Source organism: Homo sapiens, chromosome 2 (assembly GCF_000001405.40).
Source record: "Homo sapiens chromosome 2, GRCh38.p14 Primary Assembly".
In the NCBI taxonomy this organism is placed as follows: Eukaryota; Metazoa; Chordata; class Mammalia; order Primates; family Hominidae; genus Homo; species Homo sapiens.
Window position 1 is genome coordinate 69,425,060 of NC_000002.12, and position 24,439 is coordinate 69,449,498.

At 44.7% G+C, this 24,439-nt stretch overlaps 1 protein-coding gene across 7 annotated transcripts in view, besides 2 other annotated features; it reads right to left on the reverse strand.

Moving 5' to 3' along the window:
• The window catches only part of NFU1 (NFU1 iron-sulfur cluster scaffold), a 43,818-nt gene extending 29,310 nt beyond the window's left edge, over positions 1 to 14,508 (reverse strand). For 3 of the 7 annotated variants that reach the window (NR_045632.2, NR_045631.2, NM_001002755.4), the window contains exons 1-2: positions 12,302 to 12,376; positions 6,843 to 6,946 (exon numbers count right to left, since the gene is read on the reverse strand). Coding sequence is in view for 4 of the 7 variants with exons in the window: in NM_001002755.4 (NP_001002755.1) it covers positions 6,843 to 6,946; positions 12,302 to 12,363 (166 nt within the window). In the remaining 3 variants the exon portion in view is untranslated. Of the gene's footprint in view, positions 1 to 6,842; positions 6,947 to 12,211; positions 12,574 to 12,993; positions 13,059 to 13,935 lie in introns of those variants that run through there. The other 4 variants (NM_001374284.1, XM_047443939.1, NM_015700.4 and 1 more) reach the window with 4 other exon arrangements.
• Positions 12,232 to 12,381: an enhancer, noted in NCBI's record as "active region_15971". NCBI's record gives its function as "activates an Ori minimal core promoter by ATAC-STARR-seq in GM12878 lymphoblastoid cells {active_cell/tissue: GM12878}" and the evidence as "EXISTENCE:reporter gene assay evidence [ECO:0000049][PMID:35858748]".
• Positions 19,633 to 20,189: an enhancer, noted in NCBI's record as "OCT4-NANOG hESC enhancer chr2:69671824-69672380 (GRCh37/hg19 assembly coordinates)". NCBI's record gives its function as "activates a minimal SCP1, AML or CMV promoter by ChIP-STARR-seq in naive and primed H9 embryonic stem cells {active_cell/tissue: H9 hESC(naive and primed)}" and the evidence as "EXISTENCE:reporter gene assay evidence [ECO:0000049][PMID:30033119]".

Genomic DNA, 24,439 nt, shown 5'->3' on the forward strand with positions numbered 1-24,439 from the left:
AGTAGAGACGGGGTTTCACTGTGTTACCCAGGATGGTTTTGATCTCCTGACCTCATGATCTGCCCGCCTCGGCCTCACAAAGTGCTGGGATTACAGGTGTGAGCCACCGCGCCCAGCCAAAGGCTTTTTTTAAAAAAAATCTGTGGAGGTGGAATCTCCCAATGTTGCTCAAGCTGGTCTCAAACACCTGGCCTCAAGTGAGCCTTCCACCTTGGCCTCCCAAAGTAAAGTGCTGGGATTACAGGTGTAAGCCATCATGTCCAGCTCCGGGGCCAAGTGCTTTATTTATTTATTTTTAATTTTTTTTTTTTTTGAGATGGAGTTTCGCTCTTTCCCCCAGGCTAGAGTGAAGTGGCACAATCGTGGCTCACTGCAACCTCTGCCCCCTAAGTTCAAGTGATTCTCCTGCCTCAGCCTCCTGAGTAGCTGGGATTATAGGCATGCACCACCATGCCCGGCTAATTTTTGTATTTTTAGTAGAGACAGGGTTTCACCATGTTGGCCCAGCTGGTCTCAAACTCCTGACCTCACGTGATCCACCCACCTCAGCCTCCCAAAGTGGTGGGATTACAGGTGTAAGCCACTGTGCCCGGCCTAATTTTTTTTTTTTTAAACTGGGTTTCACCATGTTGGCCAGGCTGATCTCAAACTCCTTGCCTCGAGTGATCCACCTACCTCAGCCTCCCAAAGTGTTGGGATTACAGGCATGAGCCACCATGCCTGGCCCAGGTGCTTTACATGTATTTATGCCTTTAACAACCCTGTAAAGAAGGAACTCTTACTCCCATTTTACAAATGAAGACACGGAGGCTTAGAGATATTAATTAAGTTGCCTAATGGTACAGTAAATAACATAACAAAATACAACATAAGCAAGAATCTATGCAAATTACTTCCTGGAATATTTAAAAGATATCTATTTTGTTTGTTTCAAGACAAGGACTCACACTGTACCCAAGCTAGAGTGCAGTGGCACAATCTTGGCTCACTACAACCTCTGCTTTCTGGATTCAAGCGATTCTCATGCCTCAGCTTCCCAAGTGGCTGGAACTACAGGTGTGCACCACCACACCCAGCTAATTTTTGATTTTTTGTAGAGAAGGGGTTTCATCATGTTGGCCAGGCTGGTCTTGAACTCCTGGCCTCAGGCGATCCATCCGCCTCGGCCTCCCAAAGTGCTAGGATTAAAGGCGTGAGCCACTGTGCCTAGCCTAAAAGACATCTTTACAGACTCTTCTTTTTTTGAGATTGAGTCTCGCTCTGTCGCCCAAGCTGGAGTGCAGTGGCATGATCTCGGCTCACTGCAAACTCTGCCTTCCAGGTTCAAGCAATTCTCCTGCCTCAGCCTCCTGAGTAGCTGAGATTACCAGCATATACCACCAAGCCCAGCTAATTTTTGTATTTTTAGTAGAGATGAGGTTTCACCATGTTGGCCAGGCTAATCTCGAACTCCTGACCTCAGGTGATCCGCCTGCCTTGGCCTCCCAAAATGCTGGGATTACAGGCATGAGCCACTGTGCCCGCCAACTCTTTTCTTATAATATCTTTTTTCTAGGACCATGATTAGATTGAGAATGGATTCACTAAAGCAATAAAGAGATAACACAATCTTTAATTTCCTACCTTGCTATTATGACAACAGCTTGCAGGACGAAAGGACGGCACTGGCATTTTAATAGTTTTAAAACTATTAAACAGATCTGATTATTCATTATGAATAATCATAATGAAGGGGGCAGTGGCTCACGCCTGGAATCCCAGCACTTTGGGAGGCCGAGGCGGGCGGATCACGAGGTCAGGAGTTTGAGACCAGCCTGGCCAACATGGTGAAACCCCGTCTCTACTAAAAAAATACAAAAATTAGCCAGACGTGGTGGTATCTGCCTGTAATCCCAGCTACTCAGGAAGCTGAGGCAGGAGAATCGATTGAACCCGGGTTGCAGTGAGCTGAGATCCTGCCATTGCACTCCAGCCTGGGCAATAGAGAGAGACTAGGTCTCAAAAAAAAAAAAGAAAGAAAGAAAGAAAAGAAAATGAATTTTCTGGCCAGGCGTGGTGGCTCACGCCTATAATCCTAGCACTTTGGGAGGCCAAAGCGGGTGGATCACCTGAGGTCAGGAGTTCCTGACCAGCCTGGCCAACATGGTGAAACCCCGTCTCTACTAAAAATACAAAATTAACCGGGCGTGGTGGCAGGCGCCTGTAATCCCAGCTACTCAGGAGGCTGAGGCAGGAGAATCACTTGAACCTGGGAGGCAGAGGTTGCAGTTAACTGGGATCGCACCATTGCACTCCAGCCTGGGCAAAAAGAGCAAAACTCCATCTCAAAAAAAAATAGAAGGCCAGGCATGGTGGCTCACGCCTGTAATCTCAGCACTTTGGGAGGTAAAGGCAGGTGGATCACAAGGTCAGGAGTTTGAAACCAGCCTAGCCAACATGGTGAAAACCCATCTCTACTATAAACACAAACGTCAGCCAGGCGTGGTAGTGTGCGTCCGTAGTCCCAGCTACTTGGGAGGCTGAGGCAGGAGAATCACTTGAACATGGGAGGCGGAGCTTGCAGTGAGCCAAGAATGTGCCACTGCACTCCAGCCTGGGTGACAGAGTGACACTCAGTCTCAAAAAAAAAAAAAAAAAAAAGGCCAGGTGTGGTGGCTCACACCTGTAATCCCAGCACTTTGGAAGGCCGAGGTGGGCAGATCACCTGAGGTCAGGAGTTCAGGACCAGCCTGGCCAACATGGTGAAACCCCGTCTCTACAGGGGTTTTGTAGAGGTAGGGTTATTTTGTAGAGGTATTTGTAAAAATACAAAAATTAGCCAGGCGTGGTAGTGCGCTCCTGTAATCCCAGCTACTTAGGAGGCTGAGGCAGGACAATCACTTGAACCTGGGAGGTGGAGGCTGCAGTGAACCAAGATTGCGCCATTACAGTCCAGCCTGGGCAACAGAGCAAGACTCTGTCTCAAAAAGAAAAAAGAAAAAAGAAAATGAACCTTCTGAGTAAAAAGAAATCCTCCATCTTACAGCAGTATATTTAAATAGACTGACAATACTATATAACAATTAAAATTTATTCAGTGCCTGGCCGGGCGCAGTGGGTTATGCCTATAATCCCCAGCACTTTGGGAGGCCAAGGCAGGCGGATCACCTGAGGTCAGGAGTTCGAGAACAGCCTGGTCAACATGGTAAAACCCTGTGTCTACTAAAAATACAAAAATTAGCCAGGTGTGGTGATGTGCGCCTGTAATCCCAGCTACCTAGAAGGCTGATGCAGGAGAATTGCTTGAACCCAGGAGAGGGAGGTTGCAGTGAGCCAAGATCCAGCCACCACGCACTCCAGCCTGCGAGACATAGTGAGACTCTGTCTCAAAAAAAAAAAAATTATTCAGTGCCTATCATGCACTGGGCAGGGTGCTAAGCACTTTACATGTATTATATCATTTAATCCTTACATACTTTCAATGAGTACTTTCAATACTTACTATTTTTATCTTATTTTATAATAAGGAGACTAAAGGTCACTCAGCTACTAAGTGACAGAGCCAGGATTCAAAGCTGGACAATTTTCTAGGTGCTGACTTTCTTAGCCACCGTACATATTGCTAATCCTTATCTAACATTGCCAGGCATAATAGGAAAATACATTTAAGATCAATCTTCCTGTCCTAATTTTCACATCACCTATTTTAGGAGAGAGAATAGAATATCAAAAAGCAACAGTTTTATTTTAAATTTGAAAGAGTTTAAATTTGGCAAAACATATGGTTGGTACAAAAATGCTTTTCTTAGTCATTACAGAAAAAGTTCTAATTTGACAACTGAGAGCCATTTTTGTACTTTGCCATGCAGTTCCAGCTAGCTGAAGTTAAACCATTTCATGGATAAAGAAAAAAATTGAAAGTGAACTCCCATACATTTTGTTTAAATCCTTTTTCTAATTAGACAACCAGACAATTCCTAAAAAATGAAAAAATAGCCGCAATGTCCAAGTACTTCATTTAAAATATGTATATTTCTAGTAAGACATTCTTCTGAAAATCTGTGTTATAAGGGAATGATTTTTCAATGACACATTAAAGAAAGGGCTGCCAACACTTTCTGTAAATAATCTTCTAACTCTGGCTCTGAACCAATCATTTCTTGCAGCTTGTATTAATAATTTATTGCTAACCAAAATCTGCACACAGTACTCTACCAATATTTGAAAAATTAAATCTGGCTTCAACTGGGTGCATCAGCTCACACCTATAATCCCAGCACTTTGGGAGGCCAAGGCAGGAGGATCACTTGAGGGCAGAAGTTCGAGACCAGCCTGGGCAACAGAGATCCTGTCTCTACAAAAAAATACAAAAATTGGTCAGCTGTGGTGGCATGTGCCTATAATTCCAGCTACATAGGAGGCTAAGGCAAGAGGACTGCTTGAGCCCAGGCAGTAGAAAATGCAGTGAGCCAAGACAAAAAAAAAAAATCTGGCTTTATTCTACTCAATCAATTTGAGAAAAACTACACCTGCAGAAAGCAAAATTTTTAGAAATCCTTGAGGGTAAAAACTACAAATGCAAAATAAAAAGTCACTTAAGAGCATATACTCTATACTATCTAAAGTAGAAAGTATGAAAATGAATGACATCATCACAGAACTTTTTACTGTTGACAATAAATAAAGCTATTACTAAAAAACTAATTCAGGCTGGGCACGGTGGCTCACGCCTATAATCCCAGCACTTTGGGAGGCTGAGCCAGGCAGGTTACTTGAGCTCTGGAGTTCAAGACCAGCCTAGGTAATGTAGTGAAACCTCGTCTCTACAAAAAATACGAAAATTAGCTGGGTGTGTTGGTACGCACCTGTAGTACCAGCTACTTGGGAGACTGAGGTGGGAGGATGGCTGGAGCCCAGGAGGCGGAGGTTACAGTGAGCCAAGATCACATCACTGCACTTTAGCCTGGGCAACATAGTGAGACCCTGCCTCAAAAACAAACAAAAAAAAACACCTAATTTGAATAGGTACTTAACAAAATCATTACAATTATAATCTCAATTGGGTTTAATTTTGTATTTCAAAAATGACTCCCAGGTCCATCATCCAGAAAGATGCTCATGAAAATGTCATGAGACTTACAACAGGAAACAGGACAGAATGATAAAAAATATTTCTTCCTTTTTTTTTTTTTGAGACAGTGTCTCACTCTGCTGCCCAGGCTGAAGTGCAGTGGCATGATTACAGCTCACTGCAGCCTCAACCTCCTAGGCTCAAGTGATTCTCCCACCTCAGCCTCCTGAGTAGCTGGGACTACAGGCATGCACCACCAAGCCCAGATAATTTTTGTATTTTTTTGTAAAGACAGGGTTTGACCATGTTGCTGAGGCTGGTCTTGAACTTCTTGGGCTCAAGGGATCTGCCCGCCTCAGCCTCTCAAAGTGTTGGGATTATAGGCATGAGCCACCATGCCAGCCTATTTTTTCCTATTATGCTTGGTACTAATAGGTACCTAAGGAGGTAGATGTAAACTCCCCCAAAATACAGATTAGTGGTGCTTAAAGTCAATATCAATGACTAAAATTAATGGGTTTCCTATTTGAAAAGCCTATATGACCACATATTTCAGTCCTACAAAGTTTAAAAGTCCAATTAAAGTGGTTTAATCAGCTGAGTTACTCAGTATTTACAATATTTATATCTAAGCTATTCTGTGATCCAAGCAGTCAGGCAAGCCTGCAGGAAAGTGTTCCTCTTCTGGCCCCTGGCTACAGAAGGGGTAAGGTCTACCCTGATTTAACTCACGCCCTTAGCCAGAATCAGCCAGAGTATGGCCACAGGAATGTGTTCAAGCTAGCAATGGAAAGGAGAGGCTGAATTTATATGCTTACAGCTCCATAACACATATAGGTATACATTTACATACATACACACATGCAGACACACATACCCTCTCCCCTTAAACTTCCCTAACTCTACATTACAGTCATCACACTTCAAATTATTTTAAATCATATCTATTTCCCAAATTAAAGAAAATTAAAGTATATATCTCGTTAACAATCAAGATTATTAACAAAACCATAGTAATTAATTTTGACAAAAAAGCTTTTCTTTCTTTTTTTTGAATGTAGTTTTTTACTACATTCAAAATCCTGTGTTCTAAGGTCTGGATGAAAGCCAGAAATTTACTAATTTTAAGGGTATTCTTATCCAAAAAAAGGACAGCAGTAGCTTTAAATACATAGAATTCTTTGAAACACAATCCCCATTTGAAACTTCTTTTTGAGACAGGGTCCCACTTTGTCACCCAGGCTGGAGCACAGTGGTGTGATCACGGCTCACTGCAAGCTTGAACTCCTGGGCTAAAGGGATTCTCCCACCTCAGCCTCCCAAGCAGCTGGGACTACACGTGTGCGCCACCATGCCCAGCTAATTTTTTGTATTTTTTGTAGAGACAGGGTTTTGCTGTGTTGCCCAGGCTGGTCTCAAACTCCTGGGCTCAAGCGATCAACCTGCCTCAGCCTCTCAAAGTACTGGGATTACAGGCATGAGCCACCACACCCAGTCAGATTTTAACTTCTACAGTATTTTCATTTTGGAAATCATTTATTGAGCAACTCTTGTGTTGCAGGGGATATGTTATACAACATACTGAGATTTCATAGATCTATTGGACAATATCCTTGCAAATACATTTTCTACTTAGAAGCCTATAAGAAAAATATAGCTTTTTTTCCTATATTCTATCTATAGGCTTCTAAATAGAAAATATACAAATTCTCATCTTTTATGATCCACAAAATCCTAGCACAGTTCCATCAGTTTCTGAAACACAACTGCTATAAAAGAGGTGAAATTTTACCTGGGTGATAAAAGGCTGCAGGTAGTGGGAAAAGTGGTCTTTGTACAAACTGATGCAGAGGCTGTTTCTTAATGGTGTATGGATTCTTCAACATATGACAGAACCTGCATTTAAAAGCACATAATGAATGACATTTTAAGAGCTCTAATCTTTTAAAGTTGGTTTCTACTTCTCATGTATAAAAAAGACCTATGTAAAATTTAAACATAACCCGCAATAGAAATAATTAGAGAACTGACTTTTCATCTTCCATCTACATTATTTCCACTTACTTAGGCAAGCAATATCTACAAACAATTCAAAATCAGGTAGAGCTCAAATGGAAATTCCTACCCTTGATAACCGGGTGTGCACAGGATAATATAACATTGAGGTATAAGAAACAGAATTGGGCTGGGTGAGGTGGCTCACGCCTGTAATCCCAGCATTTTGGGAGGCCGAGGCAGGTGGATCACGTGAGGTTGGGAGTTCAAGACCAGCCTGACCAACATGGAGAAACCCCATCTCTACTAAAAATACAAAATTAGCCGGGCATGGTGGCACATGCCTGTAATCCCAGCTACTCAGGAGGCTGAGGCAGGAGAATTGCTTGAACCCAGGAGGCAGAGGTTGCAGTGAGCCAACATCATGCCATTGCACTCCAGCCTGGGCAACAAGAGTGAAACTCTACCTCAAAAAAAAAAAGAAACAGAATTGTATCTACATTAGTAATTTATAACCCATAGTCCCAGACTCTTGGTTATACAGGAAGGAAGCAAATAACTATAAGCTTTTTTATTTTTTTAAAAAATTTAGAATTAGGCAATAGAGTCACATGGTTCAAAACTGGTAAGGGAAAAAAGCATAAATAGTGAAAGCCTCCCTCCTTTCCTGTCCCTTACGTTTCCCTCTCTCAAGATAACCTATATTACCTGTTTTGAAAAGTATTTCAATACTTCAAAAAATCTAAAAGAAAGTATACTATTGGGCCAGGGGTGGTGGCTCACGCCTGTAATGCCAGCACTTTGGGAGGCCAAGGCAGGTGGATCACCTGAGGTCAGGAGTTCGAGACGAGCCTGCCCAACATGGTGCAACTCCATCTCTACTAAAAATACAAAAAATAGCTGGGAGTGGTGGTGGGCGCCTGTAATCCCAGCTACTCGGGAGGCTGAGGCAGAGGAATCGCTTGAACCCAGGAGGCGTAGGTTGCAGTGAGCCGAGATCGTGCCACTGCACTCCAGCCTGGCCCAAAGAGCAAGACTCCATCTCCAAAAAAAAAAAAAAAAAAAGTATACGACTGTCCTTTTTGTTTTTGAGATGGAGTCTCACTGTTGTTGGCCCAGGCTGGAGTGCAATGGCACAATCTCGGCTCACTGCAACCTCCATCTCCCAGGTGCCAGCAATTCTGCTGCCTCAGCCTCCCGAGTAGCTGAGATTACAGGTGCCCGCCACCATGCCTGGCTAATTTTTGTACTTTTTAGTAGAGACAGGGTTTCACCATGTTGGCCAGGATGGTCTCGAACTCTTGACCTCAGGTGATCCTCCCGTATCGGCCTCCCAAAGTGCTGAGATTACAGGCATGAGACACCACACCTGGCCCGTCTTTTTTTTTTGAGACTGAGTCTCACTTTGTCGCCCACGCTGGAGTGCAGTGATGCGATCCCAGCTTACTGCAACCTCCACCTCCTGGGTTCAAGTGATTCTCTTGCCTCAGCCTCCCTAGTAGCTGGGATTACAGGTGTACACCATCACACCCGGCTAATTTTTATATTTTTAGTAGAGACAGGGTTTCACCACGTTGGCCAGGCTGATCTCCAACTCCTGACCTAAAGTGATCCACCTGCCTTGGCCTCCCAAAATGCTGGGATTACACAGCCAACGATCTTGATCACGCTTTTCGTGTTTTGTTTTGAGACAGGGTCTTGTTCTGTCACCCATGCTGGAGTACAATGGTGTGATCAGGGCTCACTGCAGCCTCAACATCCTAGGCTCAAGTGATTCTCCCACCTCAGCCTCCCAAGTAGGTGACACTACAGCTGTATGCCACCATGCCCAGCTAGTTTTTTTTTTTTTTTTTACTTCTGGTAGAGATGGATTACCACTATGTTGCTCAGGCTGATCTCCAGCTCCTGGCTCAAGTAATCCTCCCACTTTGGCCTCCCAAAGTGCTGGGATTATAGGCGTGAGCCACCATGCCCTGCCTTTTATATGCTTTTTGGATGGAAACATATTAACCCAGTGTTGTAACTTCACTTCACTTTTTTTTTTCTTTTTTTTTTTGTGAGACGGAGTCTTGCTCTGTCGCCCAGGATGGAGTGCAGTGGTGCGATCTTGGCTCACTGCAACCTCCGCCTCCTGGGTTCAAGCAATTCTCCGCCTCAGCCTCCCAAGTAGCTGGGATTATAGATGCCCACCACCATGCCCGGCTAATTTTTGTATTTTTAGTAGAGACAGGGTTTCACCATCTTGGCCAGGCTGGTCTTGAACTCCTGACCTCATGATCCACTAGCCTCGGCCTCCCAAAGTGCTGGGATTACAGGCGTGAGCCACAGCGCCAGGCCTCTAACTTTACTTCACTCTTACAGAGAAAACTTAATTGGCTATTTTTTATGGCTTTGACAAACTGAAAACAAAGGAAGAAAATGAAAGCAAATATTACTGGAAAAGGAAGTAAAAGGAGACTTTAATAGTAAAAATTCTTAAAATCCCAATGCAATTTACTTTAAAATCCGGTTTACTTGAAAATATCATCGCTATCCATTACCACTGCCACTTCATAGGAGCCATAGAAAAATTTTAAGTACAGGAGTCATTTATAATTGCCAATGGGTTCACTTTGCCCACTGTCCAGATACTGCTAATTCATCAAGACAGGGGATTTGCAATAAAGAGTTTAATTCACATGGAGCCAGCTGAAAGGGAGAGTGGAGTTTTAGTACTCAGTCTCTCTGGATCTGAGGCTAGGGGTTTTCAAGGATAGACTGGCAGGCCAGGGAACGGGTGTTGCTGACTGGTTGGGGATGCAATCATAGGGGTGCGGAAAATGATCCTCCTGAGTGCTCAGCCCGTTTGTGGGCGGGGCCACAGGACCAGTCAGAAATGCAAAAACCTGAAAAGGCTAATCTTAGGTTCTACAAGAGAGATGTTTTCTGCAGGAGTAATTGGGGAAGTTGCAACTCTTAGGACCGCCAGAATAATGGCTGGTAATCATTTACATCTACACCTTAGCAGAATTCAGGCTCCTCTCATCCTCCAAACCTGGTGGTCTTTCATTAGCTTTATAAAGGTGGTTTAATTTTGGGAAAGGGCTATTATCATTTAAACTATAAACTAAATGTCTCCCAAAGTTAGCTTGGCCCAAGCCCGGGAATGGGCAGTCTAGAGGTTAAAGGCAAAATGATGGTCAGTTAGAACGGTCTTTCACTGTCATAATTTTCTGTTAAAATTTTTTCCAAAGGCCAAAATTGTTTGTGATCATACACAAGATCACATTTATCTAATTATCTTCTGCTTAAAATAGGCAAGAAGCAACAGCGGCTGCCACATTTTTTTCTCTCTCTCACAAAACTGGAATTCTTCTCGTGGAAAAGAAAGAGTGGGCACCAATTAAGTATTAACAAAATACAGATGAACTGTTTACTACCTTCAATAATCTTTATATGCCATTGATAAGCAAAAGACTACTGGGATACTGTGGGACTGTAACCCATAGAGTTTCTTAGATGCTATTGGAGAGATAAAAGGATTGGCACCGAGGATTCAAGAGAACAATGGAATCAACACTGAATGGGAATCAAATAATCTGTGAAGTCCTGACTGCCACTCCCCACACTAGCTCCAGTGTTGATCACAGTAAGAGCTGTCACCACTTTATTTTGAGATGGAAATAATCTCGCTTTTCTCACTCTGTCACCCAGGCTGAAGTGCAGTGGCGTGATCTTGGCTCACTGCAACCTCCACCTCCCTGGTTCAAGCAATTCCCCTGCCTCAGCCTCCCAACTCGCTGGGATTACAGGCACACACCACCACGCCCAGCTTTTTTTTTTTTTTTTTTAGTTTCACCATGTTGGCCAGACTGGTCTCGAACTCCTGACCTCAGCCAATCCGCCCAGCTTGACCTCTCAAAGTGCTGGGATTACAGGCGTGAGCCACCACGCCCGGCACACCACTTTAAATTACATGAATCTATTACAGCACTCATGACTGTCATTATTTGTTAATATATTTTTCTTGCTAGACTGCATACTCATTAAGGGGAGAAACTATCTTCATTTCTAGCTGCTAGCACAATGGCCTCAGTTCTTCATCTCTACAATGAGATTAGTTTCACAGCTACCTCATAAATAATCCAGAGAATCCATGTAAAGTGCTTAAACCAGTGCCAGGCCATGCAGTAAGTGCTCAATAAATGGCAGCTGCTACCATTATTTAATTGGTGCCCAATAATTACTAATTGAGTGCAGTTCAAGGTTTGGGGTAAAAATGCCTTTTTCTATAGCTCAGTATCTAAATCTGTGAATACTCTGGAATTTGGAAATGCACTAGAAGAATAATATTCTCGTCCCTTCAGCCCAGGGAAAAGGCAGCAGAATGAATAAAGAGGAAGCACATTCCAACATACAGGTTTAAAGTCTTGTTTTTTTAAAGTAAGAGTGGATTACATTATTCAAGGAAGACATCTACTCAAACACAGGAGGTAACTAACAAAAAATTCTACCAACTTAAATCTTTTTAGGATATACATTTAAACTTCAAGAGCACCATTAACACTACAATGTCTAATACTCTAGAGGGCAAACTCTCCGTAGGCCATTTTCTCCAGACGTAAAATTAAGGTACACCTACATAAATGTCCTCTTAGCAATGTTCACAGAAGTCTTTGAAAGGTGAAACTCAAAGGTAGGGCTCAGGGAGGCGGAAAAAACAAGGGAACAGAGTGGGCTTAATGGTGGTGGGTGCAGGGAATCTAGGGGTCCTGGTTCTCGTCGGAATTCCATCACTTAGAAACTGTGTAACCTTGGACATGTCACCTCCTCTTTCAGGGCCTTACTGGGAAAATGAGGAAACGAGACAAGGTATTTTCTTCCCTTCTGTGTGACATTCTGATTCTGCGTTTAGAAGAGGAGGGAATGCACCCGGTAGAGGGCCTGGGGGCGGGAGAGGCACACGATTTTAAAACAGCTCCTCCGTTCTGGCTCTACAGCCAGTCTCTACAAGCTTCCGTACCGCAGAGACTCAAGAACTGGGTCTCTGAGCCTGAGAGGAAGCTCCAGAGAGTCCGCCCGGATTAGGCCACAGAAGCGCCGAGCTCCCGCACAGACAGCCTCAGGGCTCACCCCCAACTACGGCGACAGGGCGGACCCGCCGGCTCCATCAGATGCACTACCCACCCGCCTCGAGAGAGGGTCTGCAAGGCGGCGACCGCTCCGCTGGCTAAGCCCAGCGGCACACCTATTCGGAGCTCCAGGCTCGTCACCTACCGCCTGCGCAGCCCGGCGGCAACAGCCGCAGCTCCCCAGCCCCGCCTGGCCGTCGCCGCCATCTTAGTCCGGAGTGCCTAAGGGTCTCCCTGACAGAACCACGAAAGATCTGCGCAGCCGCAGGCTGGCCGGTAGCTGGGCGGGCACTGGGAAGAGCCCACCCTACCGGCTGCGGGCGGTCCTGCTGCGGATAAGTGCGGTGGCCTACGCGCCGAGGTTTGCAGGCTACTGCGTCACCCTGACCAAGAGAGGCCGGGGAACCTTTCCCGTTTGCGCCAACGCTTGGTTAATTCACGCAGCACTGTGAACGCATGCGTGTTTCCGTACTTTGTTTTCCCTGTTGGCTAGGTTTTTAGCTGGTGCTGGTGCTGCCTTGCGAATGCTGTTTCCAGCCCCTAAACCTGACCCATTCCCTCCTCTAGGACCCTACTCAGCCTCCAGGCCCAGCTCAGTGACTGCCCCCAAAGACTCCCTGGAGCATTCCTTCTAAAAGGTTCTCGCATTTCTCCTGCCCTTTTCCCATGGGTCTGATGTGGAACTGTGTCTAACCCTTCCTCATAGCTGTGCTTGTCAGCTGCCACTTGGTCATCTTGGACCAACCCGCACAGAGGATGTATCTGGTACAGTGCTGCCCTTCTCCGATTAACATGAGACTTGACTAGTTTCCAGGGCAGAGTGCCAAAGCCCATTACCTATTCTTCCAGAACCTTCCTGGAGTATTCCGTTTTCTCTAGGACAACGGTTCTCAAAGTGCGGACTAGGGGCCAAAAAAAAGCAGGAGAACACGTTAGAAATGCACGTTAGAACATGTTAGAAATCCTGGGCCCCACTTTATACTTACTGAGGCACAATCTCTGTAGGTGGGGACTAGAAATCTTTGTTACTTGCTTTTTTTTTTTTTCTTTTTCCAGAGACAGGGTCTATCTCTGTTGCCCAGGCTGGAGAGCAGGAGTGCGATCATAGCTCACCAAAACCAACTCCTGGGCTCAAGTGATTCATCCTCCAGCCTCAGCCTCCCAAAGCACTGGGATTACAGGTGTGAGCCACGGTGCCTGGCTTTTATTAGCAGTAGTAGTAGTAGTATTTTTGTAGAGAAGAGGTCTCCCTGTGTTGCCTGGGCTGCTCTTGAACTCTGCTGGCCTCAAGTGATCCCTCTCACCTGGGCCTCCAAAAGCTCTTAGGTTACCTCACCCTGCCTAGTAGTGTTTTAACAAACCCTTCCCAGGATTCTGATGCCAGCTAAAATTTGAGAATCACTGTTCTGGAAGACAGAGGACTGGTTTCCAGAATGGAAACAGCACACCTGTTGTTGAACAGGTTGAGGCCACACCCAAGACAACCCTAGTAATTTCTATGGCCCACAGACACATCTAAGAGGGTGGGTGGGTTTCAGGCCTGCAGCTCGCCCGGGCCCGCACACTGAGTGGGCTGTGCCTCCTACGAGTTTGGTTCATTCCCAATGCTGCGTACTTGCTTTTAACTACTAGTGATCTTCCCCCATCCAACCCCCCACCCAGTGATCTTCCCCCATCCAACCCCCCACCCACCCCCCCACACACACCCATTCTAGACCGCAAGGCAGTCCAAGGCTCTGTTTTTGACCCTCAATCAAAAATAAAATGTGGCTCTTCCACCTTGGAACAATCGTTCTTCTCAGACTTCAATTTTTCCCTCTCTGATGGATTCCTTATCATAAGAAAAATCCTGCCTTGCCCCAAATCCTCTTCCACACTCTTTTCTTCCCTTCAGAACCAAGTGGCTTAAAAAAATGGTCTGCACTCTTAGTCTCTAGTTTTTCACTTCCCACTCCTCAAACCCCTGAAACGAGGCTTCTATGTCCCACCATTCTTAGGGCCTGCTCTAGTCAAACCACCCACAGCCTCTGTGCTACTGTGTCCGGAATTGGTGGGTTCTTGGTCTCGCTAACTTCAAGAATGAAGCCATGGACCCTTGTGGTGAGTGTTACAGTTCTTAAAGATGGTGTGTCCAGAGTCTGTTCCTTCAGATGGTCAGATGTGTCCGGAGTTTGTTTCTTCTGGTGGGTTCGTGGTCTCACTGACTTCAGGAGTGAAGCTGCAGACCTTTGCGATGGGTGTTACAGTTCATAAAGACAGCACGGGCCCAAAGAGTGAGCCACATCAAGATTTACTACAAAGAGCAAAAGAACAAAGCTTTCATAACATGGAAGGGGACCCAAGCAGGTTGCCACTGCTGCCTCAGGCACCCTGCTTTTATTCCCTTATCTGACCCCACCCACATCCTGCTGATTGGCCCATTTTACAGAGAGCTGATTGGTCCATTTTACAGAGTACTGATTGGTTTGTTTTACAGAGAGCTGATTGGTCCGTTTTGACAGGGTGCTGATTGGTGCGTTTACAATCCCTGAGCTAGACATAGAGTGCTGATTGGTGTATTTACAATCCTCTAGCTAGAGTAAAAGTTCTCCAAGTCCCCACTAGGTTAGCTAGACACAGAGCACTGATTGGTGCATTTACAAACCTTGAGCTAGACACAGGGTGCTGATTGGTGTATTTACAATCCTTTAGCCAGACATAAAAGTTCTCCAAGTTCCCACCAGATTAGCTAGATACAGAGTGCTGATTGGTGCATCCATAAACCCCAAGCTAGACACAGAGTGCTGATTGATACATATACAATCCTCTGGCTAGACATAAAAGTTCTCCAAGTCCCCACCTGACTCAGGAGCCCAGCTGGCTTCGCCTAGTGGATCCCATGCCAGGGCCATGAGCAGAGCTGCCTGCCAGTCCTGCACCACAAGCCTGCACTAGAAAAAGTATCAGGCCCAGAGAGGCATTTAAAATGTAGCAGCAGTAATATCTCATTCGCCCTTGAGCTAAGTAACAACTTCTTGAAGTCACTTGCTATGTATACACTAGACTAATGTCAAGAAGCCGTTAACATGCCATATACCCTATAGTTCAACAGTGCATGGCCAGTCACTAACAATGTTATTTCTGTAAACCAATGAGAATACCTGCTGAGCATGGTGGCTCACACCTGTAATCCCAACACTCTGGGAGGCCAAGGTGGGCAAATTGCTTGAGCCCAGGAGTTTGAGACCATGCTGGGAAACATGGAGGGTTTACAAGCATGAGCCACTAACCCTGGCAGAATAAAAACATGTTATCTGAGGAAGGTGAGCCCCTTTAAATTATGAGGCCCATTGACTAGCCTAAAAAAGAAAAGTATCAGGGCCGGGTGCTGTGGCTCACGCCTCTAATCCCAGCACTTGGGAGTCTCTACAAACAAACCATGTCTCCACAAAAAATTAGCCAGATGTCATGGCATATGCCTGTAGTGCCAGCTATTTGGGAGGCTGAGATGAGAGAATCACCTGAGCCTGGGAAGTTGAGGCTGCAATGAGCCGTGATTGCACCACTGCACTCCAGCCTGGGTGACAGCATGAGACCCTGTCTCAAGAAAAAAAAAAAGTCAAATGAGAATACCTGATGAGCAACTTTTGTAATTGTTCCTCTCCCCTGATTTGTCTCTTTTTCTTTAAAAAGTTGAGCCTCTCCTTTTTTCCCAGAGCACTCTCCAAGGCAACCTGCAATATGGCCAGGGCTACAGTCCTCAACCTTGGCCCAAATAAATTCTCTATATTAATTTTGCCTCAGCTTCTTTCTTTTAGGTCAATATTTGCCTACAGTACTGTTTAATTAGGTTTCCTGTTACTCACAGATGATCAAAATCCTGTGTGGAGTAATATTAAGATGAACAAAACAATTCCTGGTCTCAGGGAGCTCCTGGAGAAGATTTGTAAATCAACAAAGGCACTAAGGGAATAGAACGCTATGTGGGGGAGAGGAAGCATTGTCAAATGTGAAATGGTGTTTAACTTTCTTTGGGTTATATTTATATGAATGAGTTATTAATGTGTGTTTCAAAATTGTGTGAGATTCCTGTAATTCTGGTATGTCTTAGTATATGACATCAGTAATAATTATGATTATTATGTTACATCGTTGTGTGCCACAGAAATAACCAAATTTCCTTGTCAATTGTGTCTTTAACCATGGCTGTTCTTTTTTTTTTTTTTTTAATACTTTAAGTTTTAGGGTACATGTGCACAATGTGCAGGTTAGTTACATATGTATACATGTGCCATGCTGGTGTGCTGCACCCACTAACTCGTCATCTAGCATTAGGTTAACCATGGCTGTTCTAAGAGTTTTGTCATCCACAGACAATTGTTGTTTTATTTTGATTCTTCTCAAAAAGTAGTTTATAATCAGCTGCAGTCCAAAATTTTCTTCTTTAAGGAAATTCATGGAAAGGACTCTAACAAATACTCTTGAATACAAGTTTCCGATAACTTTGGAGATCATAGCATTGGACTATGAAAATGCTTTCCAGGACTCTAATTAAAAAGCTGATGTATTCATGAGGATTGCTAACCCAACATCAAAAAGAACAAGAGTTAATTAATGGGACTAAACCAATAGAATATTAAAGTAATTTTTGTATGTGTGTGAAGTAATTTTTAATGACTGTTTTTTGTTTGAAACATTGCTGATAATTTTTGTTTTGTTTTTACAGAGTCAAGAAAACTTTTTTCTGTTGAGCTATTTATAGCTTACAACAAGTTGGGTAAAATATACCTTTCTGATCAAAATTTGAAGCATATTCTTTCTCTCTAAATTTCCCCAGAATTTGGAAACTATTTGTGAGATTCTTTTTTTTTTTTTTTTTTTTTTTTTTTTTTTGAGACAAGGTCTCACTCTGTTGCCCAGGCAGGATTGCAGTGGTGCAATCTCAGCTCACTGCAGCCTCAACTTCCCAGGCTAAACTGATCCTTCCACCTCAGCCTCCCAAGCAAGTAACTGTGACTACAGGTGCCCAACACCACACTCAGCTAATTTTGTTTATTTTTTGCAGAGACAGGGTCTCACTATGTTGCCCAGGCTGCTCTCAAACTCCTGAGCTCAAGCAGTCCTCCTGCCTCAGTCTCCCAAAGTGTTGGGATTACAGGTGTGAGCCACCACACCCGGCCTATTTGTGAGTATTCTTAATATATAGCAGTATAGTTATTTGCATAAATTCAGTAAGAATCTGTTTTCTTTTGTAACAGGACAAAATTTGAGACACTGGTTATTTTATCAAGGCTTTGACTGGAATAGCATTTTTTTCAGATGTACTCCGACTGCTTTGAGGAATTGACATTGACTTTATAGAGCCAATAAAAAGCCCTTTGGAAAGACTGGCCTGGTACCATGTCTATCCAATTCTTTTACAAAGTTCCTGACCTGTAATAAGTAAAGATTGTCACTTTCTGACAGGCCCAGGAAACTCAAGTTACTTTGGAACCTCAAGAAAAGTGGAATTCACCCCCAATTCATACAGGTATCTACAGGCATACATAAATCCTTGGCTTGGATAACCTCAAGAGGCTTTTAAAAAGTCAAATCTGCTATTCCTTATGAAATGGTTCCCACAAAGCCAATTTAAAAGGAGCCTCTATGGTCAATCACTACGCTTACAGCATTGTATGCAAATAATCAGGCCAAGTACAATAAGACTAAAACTTATTTTGTAAATAAATTGGTCCTACTATGATTTATCCTTGATAAAAATGGGAAACTAGAAAAAGAAAAATTACGTTTCAGAAGAAAACTATAGTGTACCTGTTTCACTCGCATCCGTGTGAAGAGACCACCCAACAGGTTTTGTGTGAGCAACAGGGCTGTTTATTTCACCTGGGTGCAGATGGGCTGAGTCTGAAAAGAGAGTCAGCAAAGGGAGATAGGGGTGGGGCCATTTTATAGGATTTGGGTAGGTAAAGGAAAATTACAGTCAAAGGGGGTTGTTTTCTAGCTGGCAGGGGTAGGGGTCACAAGGTGCTCAGTGTGGGAGCTTTTGATCCAGGATGAGCCAGGAGAAGGAATTTCACAAGGTAATGTCATCAGTTAAGGCAGGAACAGGCCATTTTCACTTCTTTTATGATTCTTCAGTTACTTCAGGCCATCTGGATGTATGTGCAGGTCACAGGGGATATGATGGCTTAGCTTGGGCTCAGAGGTCTGACATTCCTGTCTTTTTATATTAATAAGAAAAATAAAACAAAATAGTGGTAAAGTGTTGGGGCGGTGAAAATTTTGGGGGGTGGTATGGAGAGAGAATGGGTGATGTTTCTCAGGGCTGCTTCAAGCGGGATTAGGGGCAGCGTGGGAATCTAGAGTGGGAGAGATTAAGCTGAAGGAAGATTTTGTGGTAAGGGGTGATATTGTGGGGTTGTTAGAAGAAACATTTGTTGTATAGAAGTATTGGTGATGGCCTGGATATGGTTTTGCATGAATTAAAAAACTAAAAGGAATAAGAGAAGGAGAAAAACAGGTATTAAAGGACTAAGAATTGGGAGGACCCAGTACATCTAATTAGAGAGTGCCCAAGGAGGTTCAGCATAGCCCTGCCAGCAAAGATTATTTATTTACTTTAAGAAGGAGTTAAGAGTGGCGGTTTGGAGATAGCACCAGGAGATATCAGCTGTGATGGCTTGGAGAAACAGTGTAAACCGGCACTGTAAACAAGAGCAGGGCATTTATGTGTAGTTGAGAATGGTGAATATGAGTATGACCAGACAGAAGATAGTAGGGATGACAAGTTTTTTGGGGTACAGTCCAAGTTGGTATGGTGTCTGGAATGAGACTGGGGCCTAATAAAAAGGAACGTCTATACAGGAGCTCAAATGGGCTGTACCCTGTAGCATTCCAAGGACAGGCCCAAATTCTGAGAAAGGCAAGTGATAAAAGTATTGTCCAGTCCTTTTTAAGTTGGTGGCTGAGCTTGGTGAGTTGTGTTTTTAAAAGACCATTAGTCCATTCTACCCTTCCTGAAGACTGAGGACGGTAAGGGATATAAAGATTTCACTGAATACCAAGAGCCTGAAAAACTGCTTGGGTGATTTGACTAATAAAGGCCAGTCCGTTATCGGACTGCATAGAGGTGAGAAGGCCAAACCGAGGAATTATGTCTGACAGAAGGGAAGAAATGACTGCGGTGGCCTTCTCAGACCCTGTGGGAAAGGCCTCTACCCACCCAGTGAAAGTGTCTACCCAGACCAAGAGGTATTTTAGTTTCCTCACTGAGGCATGTGAGTAAAGTCAATTTTCCAGTCCTGGGTGGCCCCGAGCTTGATATGTAGGCCTGAGTAATCCCTGAAGAGTAGTAGAATAGCAGATGGAACACTGAGAAGTGATTTCCTTGAGGATAGATTTCTACGATGGAAAGGAAATGAGAGGTTCTAAGAGATGGGCTAGCGGCTTGTAACCTACATGGAAGAGGTTATGAAATGACAACAGAATAGAATGGGCCTGTGAGGCTGGAAGGAGACCCTTGGTCCAAGAACCATTTGCCTTGTGTGGGAAAAGATTGATAGGTGGAAGTTTCAGTTGGGGAGTAGGTGGGAGTGGCCAGATGAAAAGGAGAAAAACTGCCATGAGGGATAGAAGTTGGAACTCTAGCTGCTTTTTTAGCTACCTTATCAGCATAAGCATCATCCTGAGCAATGGGATCTGATGCCTTTTGATGGCTGCTTTTTAAGCTACCTTATCAACATACGCATTGTCCTGAGCAATGGGATCTGATGCCTTTTGATGGCCCTTGCAGTGAATGACTCCAGCCTCCTTTGGAAGTAAAGCAGCTTTGAGAAGAGTTTTTGTTAAAGAGGCATTAATAATGGAGGACCCTTGCATAGTGAGGAAATCTCTTTCAGCTCATGTAACAGCATGGTGGTGCAGGATATGGAAGGCATATTTAGAGTCAGTATAAATATTGACACATAATTCCTTTGCAAGGGTGAGGACTTGAGTTAAGGCAATGAGTTTGGCTTGCTGAGAGGTAGTGTAGTGCAGCAGAAAGTATATGCATCAGGTGTGAGGAAGAAAATAGATTTTGGAAGTTATGAGAACTGTAGAGAGTGAGTTGAGCATAGTTTGTGATTTTGAGGGCCTCTAAAAGTATTAGGGCGGTGGCAGCCACTGCACAGAGACATGATGGCCAGCCTAAAACAGTAAGGTCAAGTTGTTTGGACAAAAAGGCTATAGGGCATGGTCCTGGTCCTTGTGTAAGAATTCCAACTGCACAGCCCTGCACTTTGGCTGTGTGTAATGAAAAGGGTTGGGATGAGTCAGGGAGAGCTAACGTGGGGGCAGTCTCTAAAGCTATCTTCAAGGAATGAAAAGAGGAGTGGGGAAAGGATTTAGGATTTATGGGGTCAGCTAGGTTTCCTTTTGTGAGTTTATATAATGGTTTTGTTAGGATGGCAAAACCAGGTATCCAAAGGTGAAAGTATCCAATCATGCCTAGGAAGGAAAGGAATTGTGGTTTTGTAGAAGGTGTTAGGGTTTGAGAGATCAGTCAGACACGATCAGCAGGGAGAGCATGTGTGTTTTTATGAAGAATTATGCCAAGGTAGGTAACGGATGGAGAAGAAATTTGAGCTTTGGAGAAGGATACCCGATATCCTTTGGAGAATAAATGTTGAAAGAGCAGGAGGATGTCTTGTTGAGAAGATTCAAAGGAGGGGCTACAAAGTAGAAGGTCATCAATATATTGAATAAGGTGAGCAGCGGAGGGATGGAAAGAAAGTAAATCATGAGAAAGAGCTTGGCTGAAGTAATGAGGGCTGTCCCTGGAGCCTTGTGGCAGTACAGCCCAGGTAAGCTGCTGAGACTGATAGGTGTCAGGATCAGTCTAGGTAAAAGCAAAGAGAGGCTGGGACAAGGGGTGCAGGGGAATAGTGAAAAAAGCATCTTTAAGATCAAGAATAGAATAGAGAGTTGTGGAGGAAGGTATTGAGGACAAAAGAGTGTAAGGGTTGGGCACTACAGGGTGGATAGGCAAAACAATTTGGTTGATAAAGTGTGCATCCTGAACTAACCTGTAAGGCTTGTCCGGTTTTTGGACAGGTAAAATGGGGGAATTGTAAGGAGAGTTTATAGGCTTTAAAAGGCCATGCTGTAACAGGCAAGTGATAACAGGCTTTAATCCTTTTAAAGTGTGCTATGGGATGGGATATTGGCGTTGAGCGGGGTAAGGGTGATTAGGTTTTAATGGGATGGTAAGGGCTTGAGATCGGTTGCCATGGAGGGAGTAGAGGTATCCTATAATTGTGGGTTAAGGTGGGGAGATACGAAAGGAAGACACGAAGGAGGCTTTGAACTGGGGGAAAAGGCAGCAATGAGGTGTGGCTGTAGCCTAGGAATAGTCAGGGAAGCAGATAATTTAGTTAAAATGTCTCAGCCTAATAAGGGAACTGGGCAGGTGGGGATAACTAAAAAAGAGTGCATAAAAGAATGTTGTCCAAGTTGGCACCAGAGTTGGGGAGTTTAAGAGGTTTAGAAGCCTGGCCATCAATACCCACAACAGTTATGGGGGCAAGGGAAATAGGCCCATGAAAAGAAGGTAATGTGGAGTGGGTAGCCTCCGTGTTGATTAAGAAGGGGACGGGCTTACCTTCCACTGTGAGAGTTACCCGAAGCTTGGCATCCATGATGGTCTAGGGGGCTTCCAAGGTGATTGGGCAGCATCAGTCTTCAGCCGCTAAGCCAAGAAGATCCGGGAAGGAGTCAGAGAGCCTTGGGCCAGAGTTCCAGGGGCTCTGGGAGTGGCTGCCAGGTGAGTTGAAGAGTCCGATTTTCAGTGGGGTCCCACACAGATGGGACATGGCTAAGGAGGAATAACGGGCTGTGGGCATTCCTTGGCCCAGTGGCCAGATTTCCAGCACTTGTAGCAAGCTCCTGGGGGAGGAGGTCCTGGAGGAACACGTGGCTGCTGCGGTTCAGGCGTTTTGAAGTTTTTGTGTGCTGGAGATGTGGCTGGGGTTTCCCTCACAGTGGAGGCAAGGAATTGCAACTCAGAAATACATTGCTACTTGGCTGCCTCTACTCTATTATTGTACACCTTGAAGGTGAGGTTAATTAAGTCCTGTTTTGGGGTTTGAGGGCCGGAATTTAATTCTTGGAGCTTTATTTCTAATGACAGGAGCTGACTGGGTGATAAAATGCATATTTAGAATGAAACAGCCTTCTGACCCTTCAGTGTCTAGGGCTGTAAAGAGTCTAAGGGTTGCTGCCAAACAGGCCATGAACTGGGCTGGGTTTTTATATTTGATGAAAAAGAGCCTAAACACTAACCGATTTGGGAAAGGTCAGATAAAGGAAAGGAGCATTAACCTTGACTATGCCTTTAGCTCCAGCCACCTTTCTAAGAGGAAATTTCTGGGCAGGTTGGGGAGGGCTAGTTGCAGAACAAAACTGTAAGCTGGACTGGGTGTGAGGAGAGGAGGTGATAAAAGGATTACAGGGTGGGGGAGTGGAGGCTGAGGAAGAATTGGGACCTAGCTCAGCCTGGCGAGGAGCAGCCTGGGGAGGAGGGGAGAGGTCAGATGGGTCTGTAGAAAAGGAAGATTGGAAAGACTCATTGACGCTTGGGGTTAGGACTGAGGGGACAGGCGGGAGGGAAAGAAGCAAGATTTGGGACGAGTTGCATTAGAAACAGAGACTAGGGAGGGACCGATGTGTAAAAGAATGCCTGGATATCAGGCACCTCAGACCGTTTGCCCATTTTATGACAAGAATTATTTAGATCTTGTAGGATGGAAAAATCGAAAGTGCTGTTTTCTGGTTATTTGGAACCACTGTCAAGTTTGTATTGGGGTCAAGCGGTGTTGCAGAAGAAAATAAGGCATTTAGGTTTTAGGTCAGGTGTGAGTTGAAGAGGTTTGAAGTTCTTGAGAACACAGGCTAAGGGAGAAGAAGGAGGAATGGAGTGTGGAAGGTTGCCTATAGTGAAGGAGGCAAGTCCAGAGAAAAGAGAGGATAGGGACATGGAGAGAAGGGGTGGGGGGCGCTTGCCCTTAGGAAAGCAGAAAAGGGGTGGGAGGTGCTTGCCCCCCAGGAAAGTGGAAAAGGGGTAGAGACAGAGAGAGAAGGAGTGGGGGGGTGCTTGCCCCCCAGAAAAGTGGAAAAGGGGTAAAGACACGGAGAGAAGAGGTGGGGGATGCTTGCCCTCCAGGAAAGTGGAAAAGGGATAGAGACATGGAGAGAAGGGGTGGGGGGGTGCTTGCCCCCCAGAAAAGCAGTGCTTGCCGCTAAGGCTGAAGGACCAAGGCAGGCATCCCTGTGTGGTCAGACACCTCTGAAATGTGGGTGAATAATCAAGCAGGCAACCCCACATGATTAAACACCAAGGGAAGACTGTCTTCCCGAGTCCGTGACCAGCGCCGGAGTTTTGGGTTCACGGATAAAACGCATCTCCTGTCTCTACCAGAAAAGGAGAGGAACTGAAATTAAGAGAAGGGAGAGACCAAAGTGTGATTGAAGGAACTGAAATTAAGAGAAGGGAAAGACTGAAGGAGAAAGAGGTTGAGGGATAGTGAGAGAGGTTGGAGAAGAGAGTAAAAAGAGGCCGCTTACCCGATTTAAAATTGGTGAGATGTTCTGTGGGCTGGTTGGTCTGAGGACCTGAGGTCATAAGTGGATCCTTCTCACAGAGCAAAGAGCAGGAGGACATGGGATTTATCTCCCAAGGGAGATCCCCCGATCCGAGTCACAGCACCAAATTTCATTCGCGTCCGTGTGAAGAGACCACCAAACGGGTTTTGTGTGAGCAACAAGGCTGTTTATTTCACCTGGGTGCAGGCGGGCTGAGTCTGAAAAGAGAGTCAGCAAAGGGAGATGGGGTGGGACCATTTTATAGGATTTGGGAAGGTAAAGGAAAATTACAGTCAAAGGGGGTTGTTCTCTGGCTGGCAGGGGTGGGGGACACAAGGTGCTCAGTGGGAAAGCTTTTGAGCCAGGATGAGCCAGGAGAAGGAATTTCACAAGGTAATGTCATCAGTTAAGGCAGGAACAGGCCATTTTCACTTCTTTTGTGATTCTTCAGTTACTTCAGGCCATCTGGATGTATACATGCAGGTCATAGGGGATATGATGGCTTAGCTTGGGCTCCGAGGCCTGACACCTGTTATTAGATTCTAGCCTTATTCATTGTTTTTGAGTTTTTATTATTTGCCTATAATTTGGACTGGATTCAGACTTATTTCCTGGCTGCAAGTCTCCAAACTAACATTTTCAACTTTTTCTTCCATTTTCTTGATTTGGAATTGTTACTGGAAAG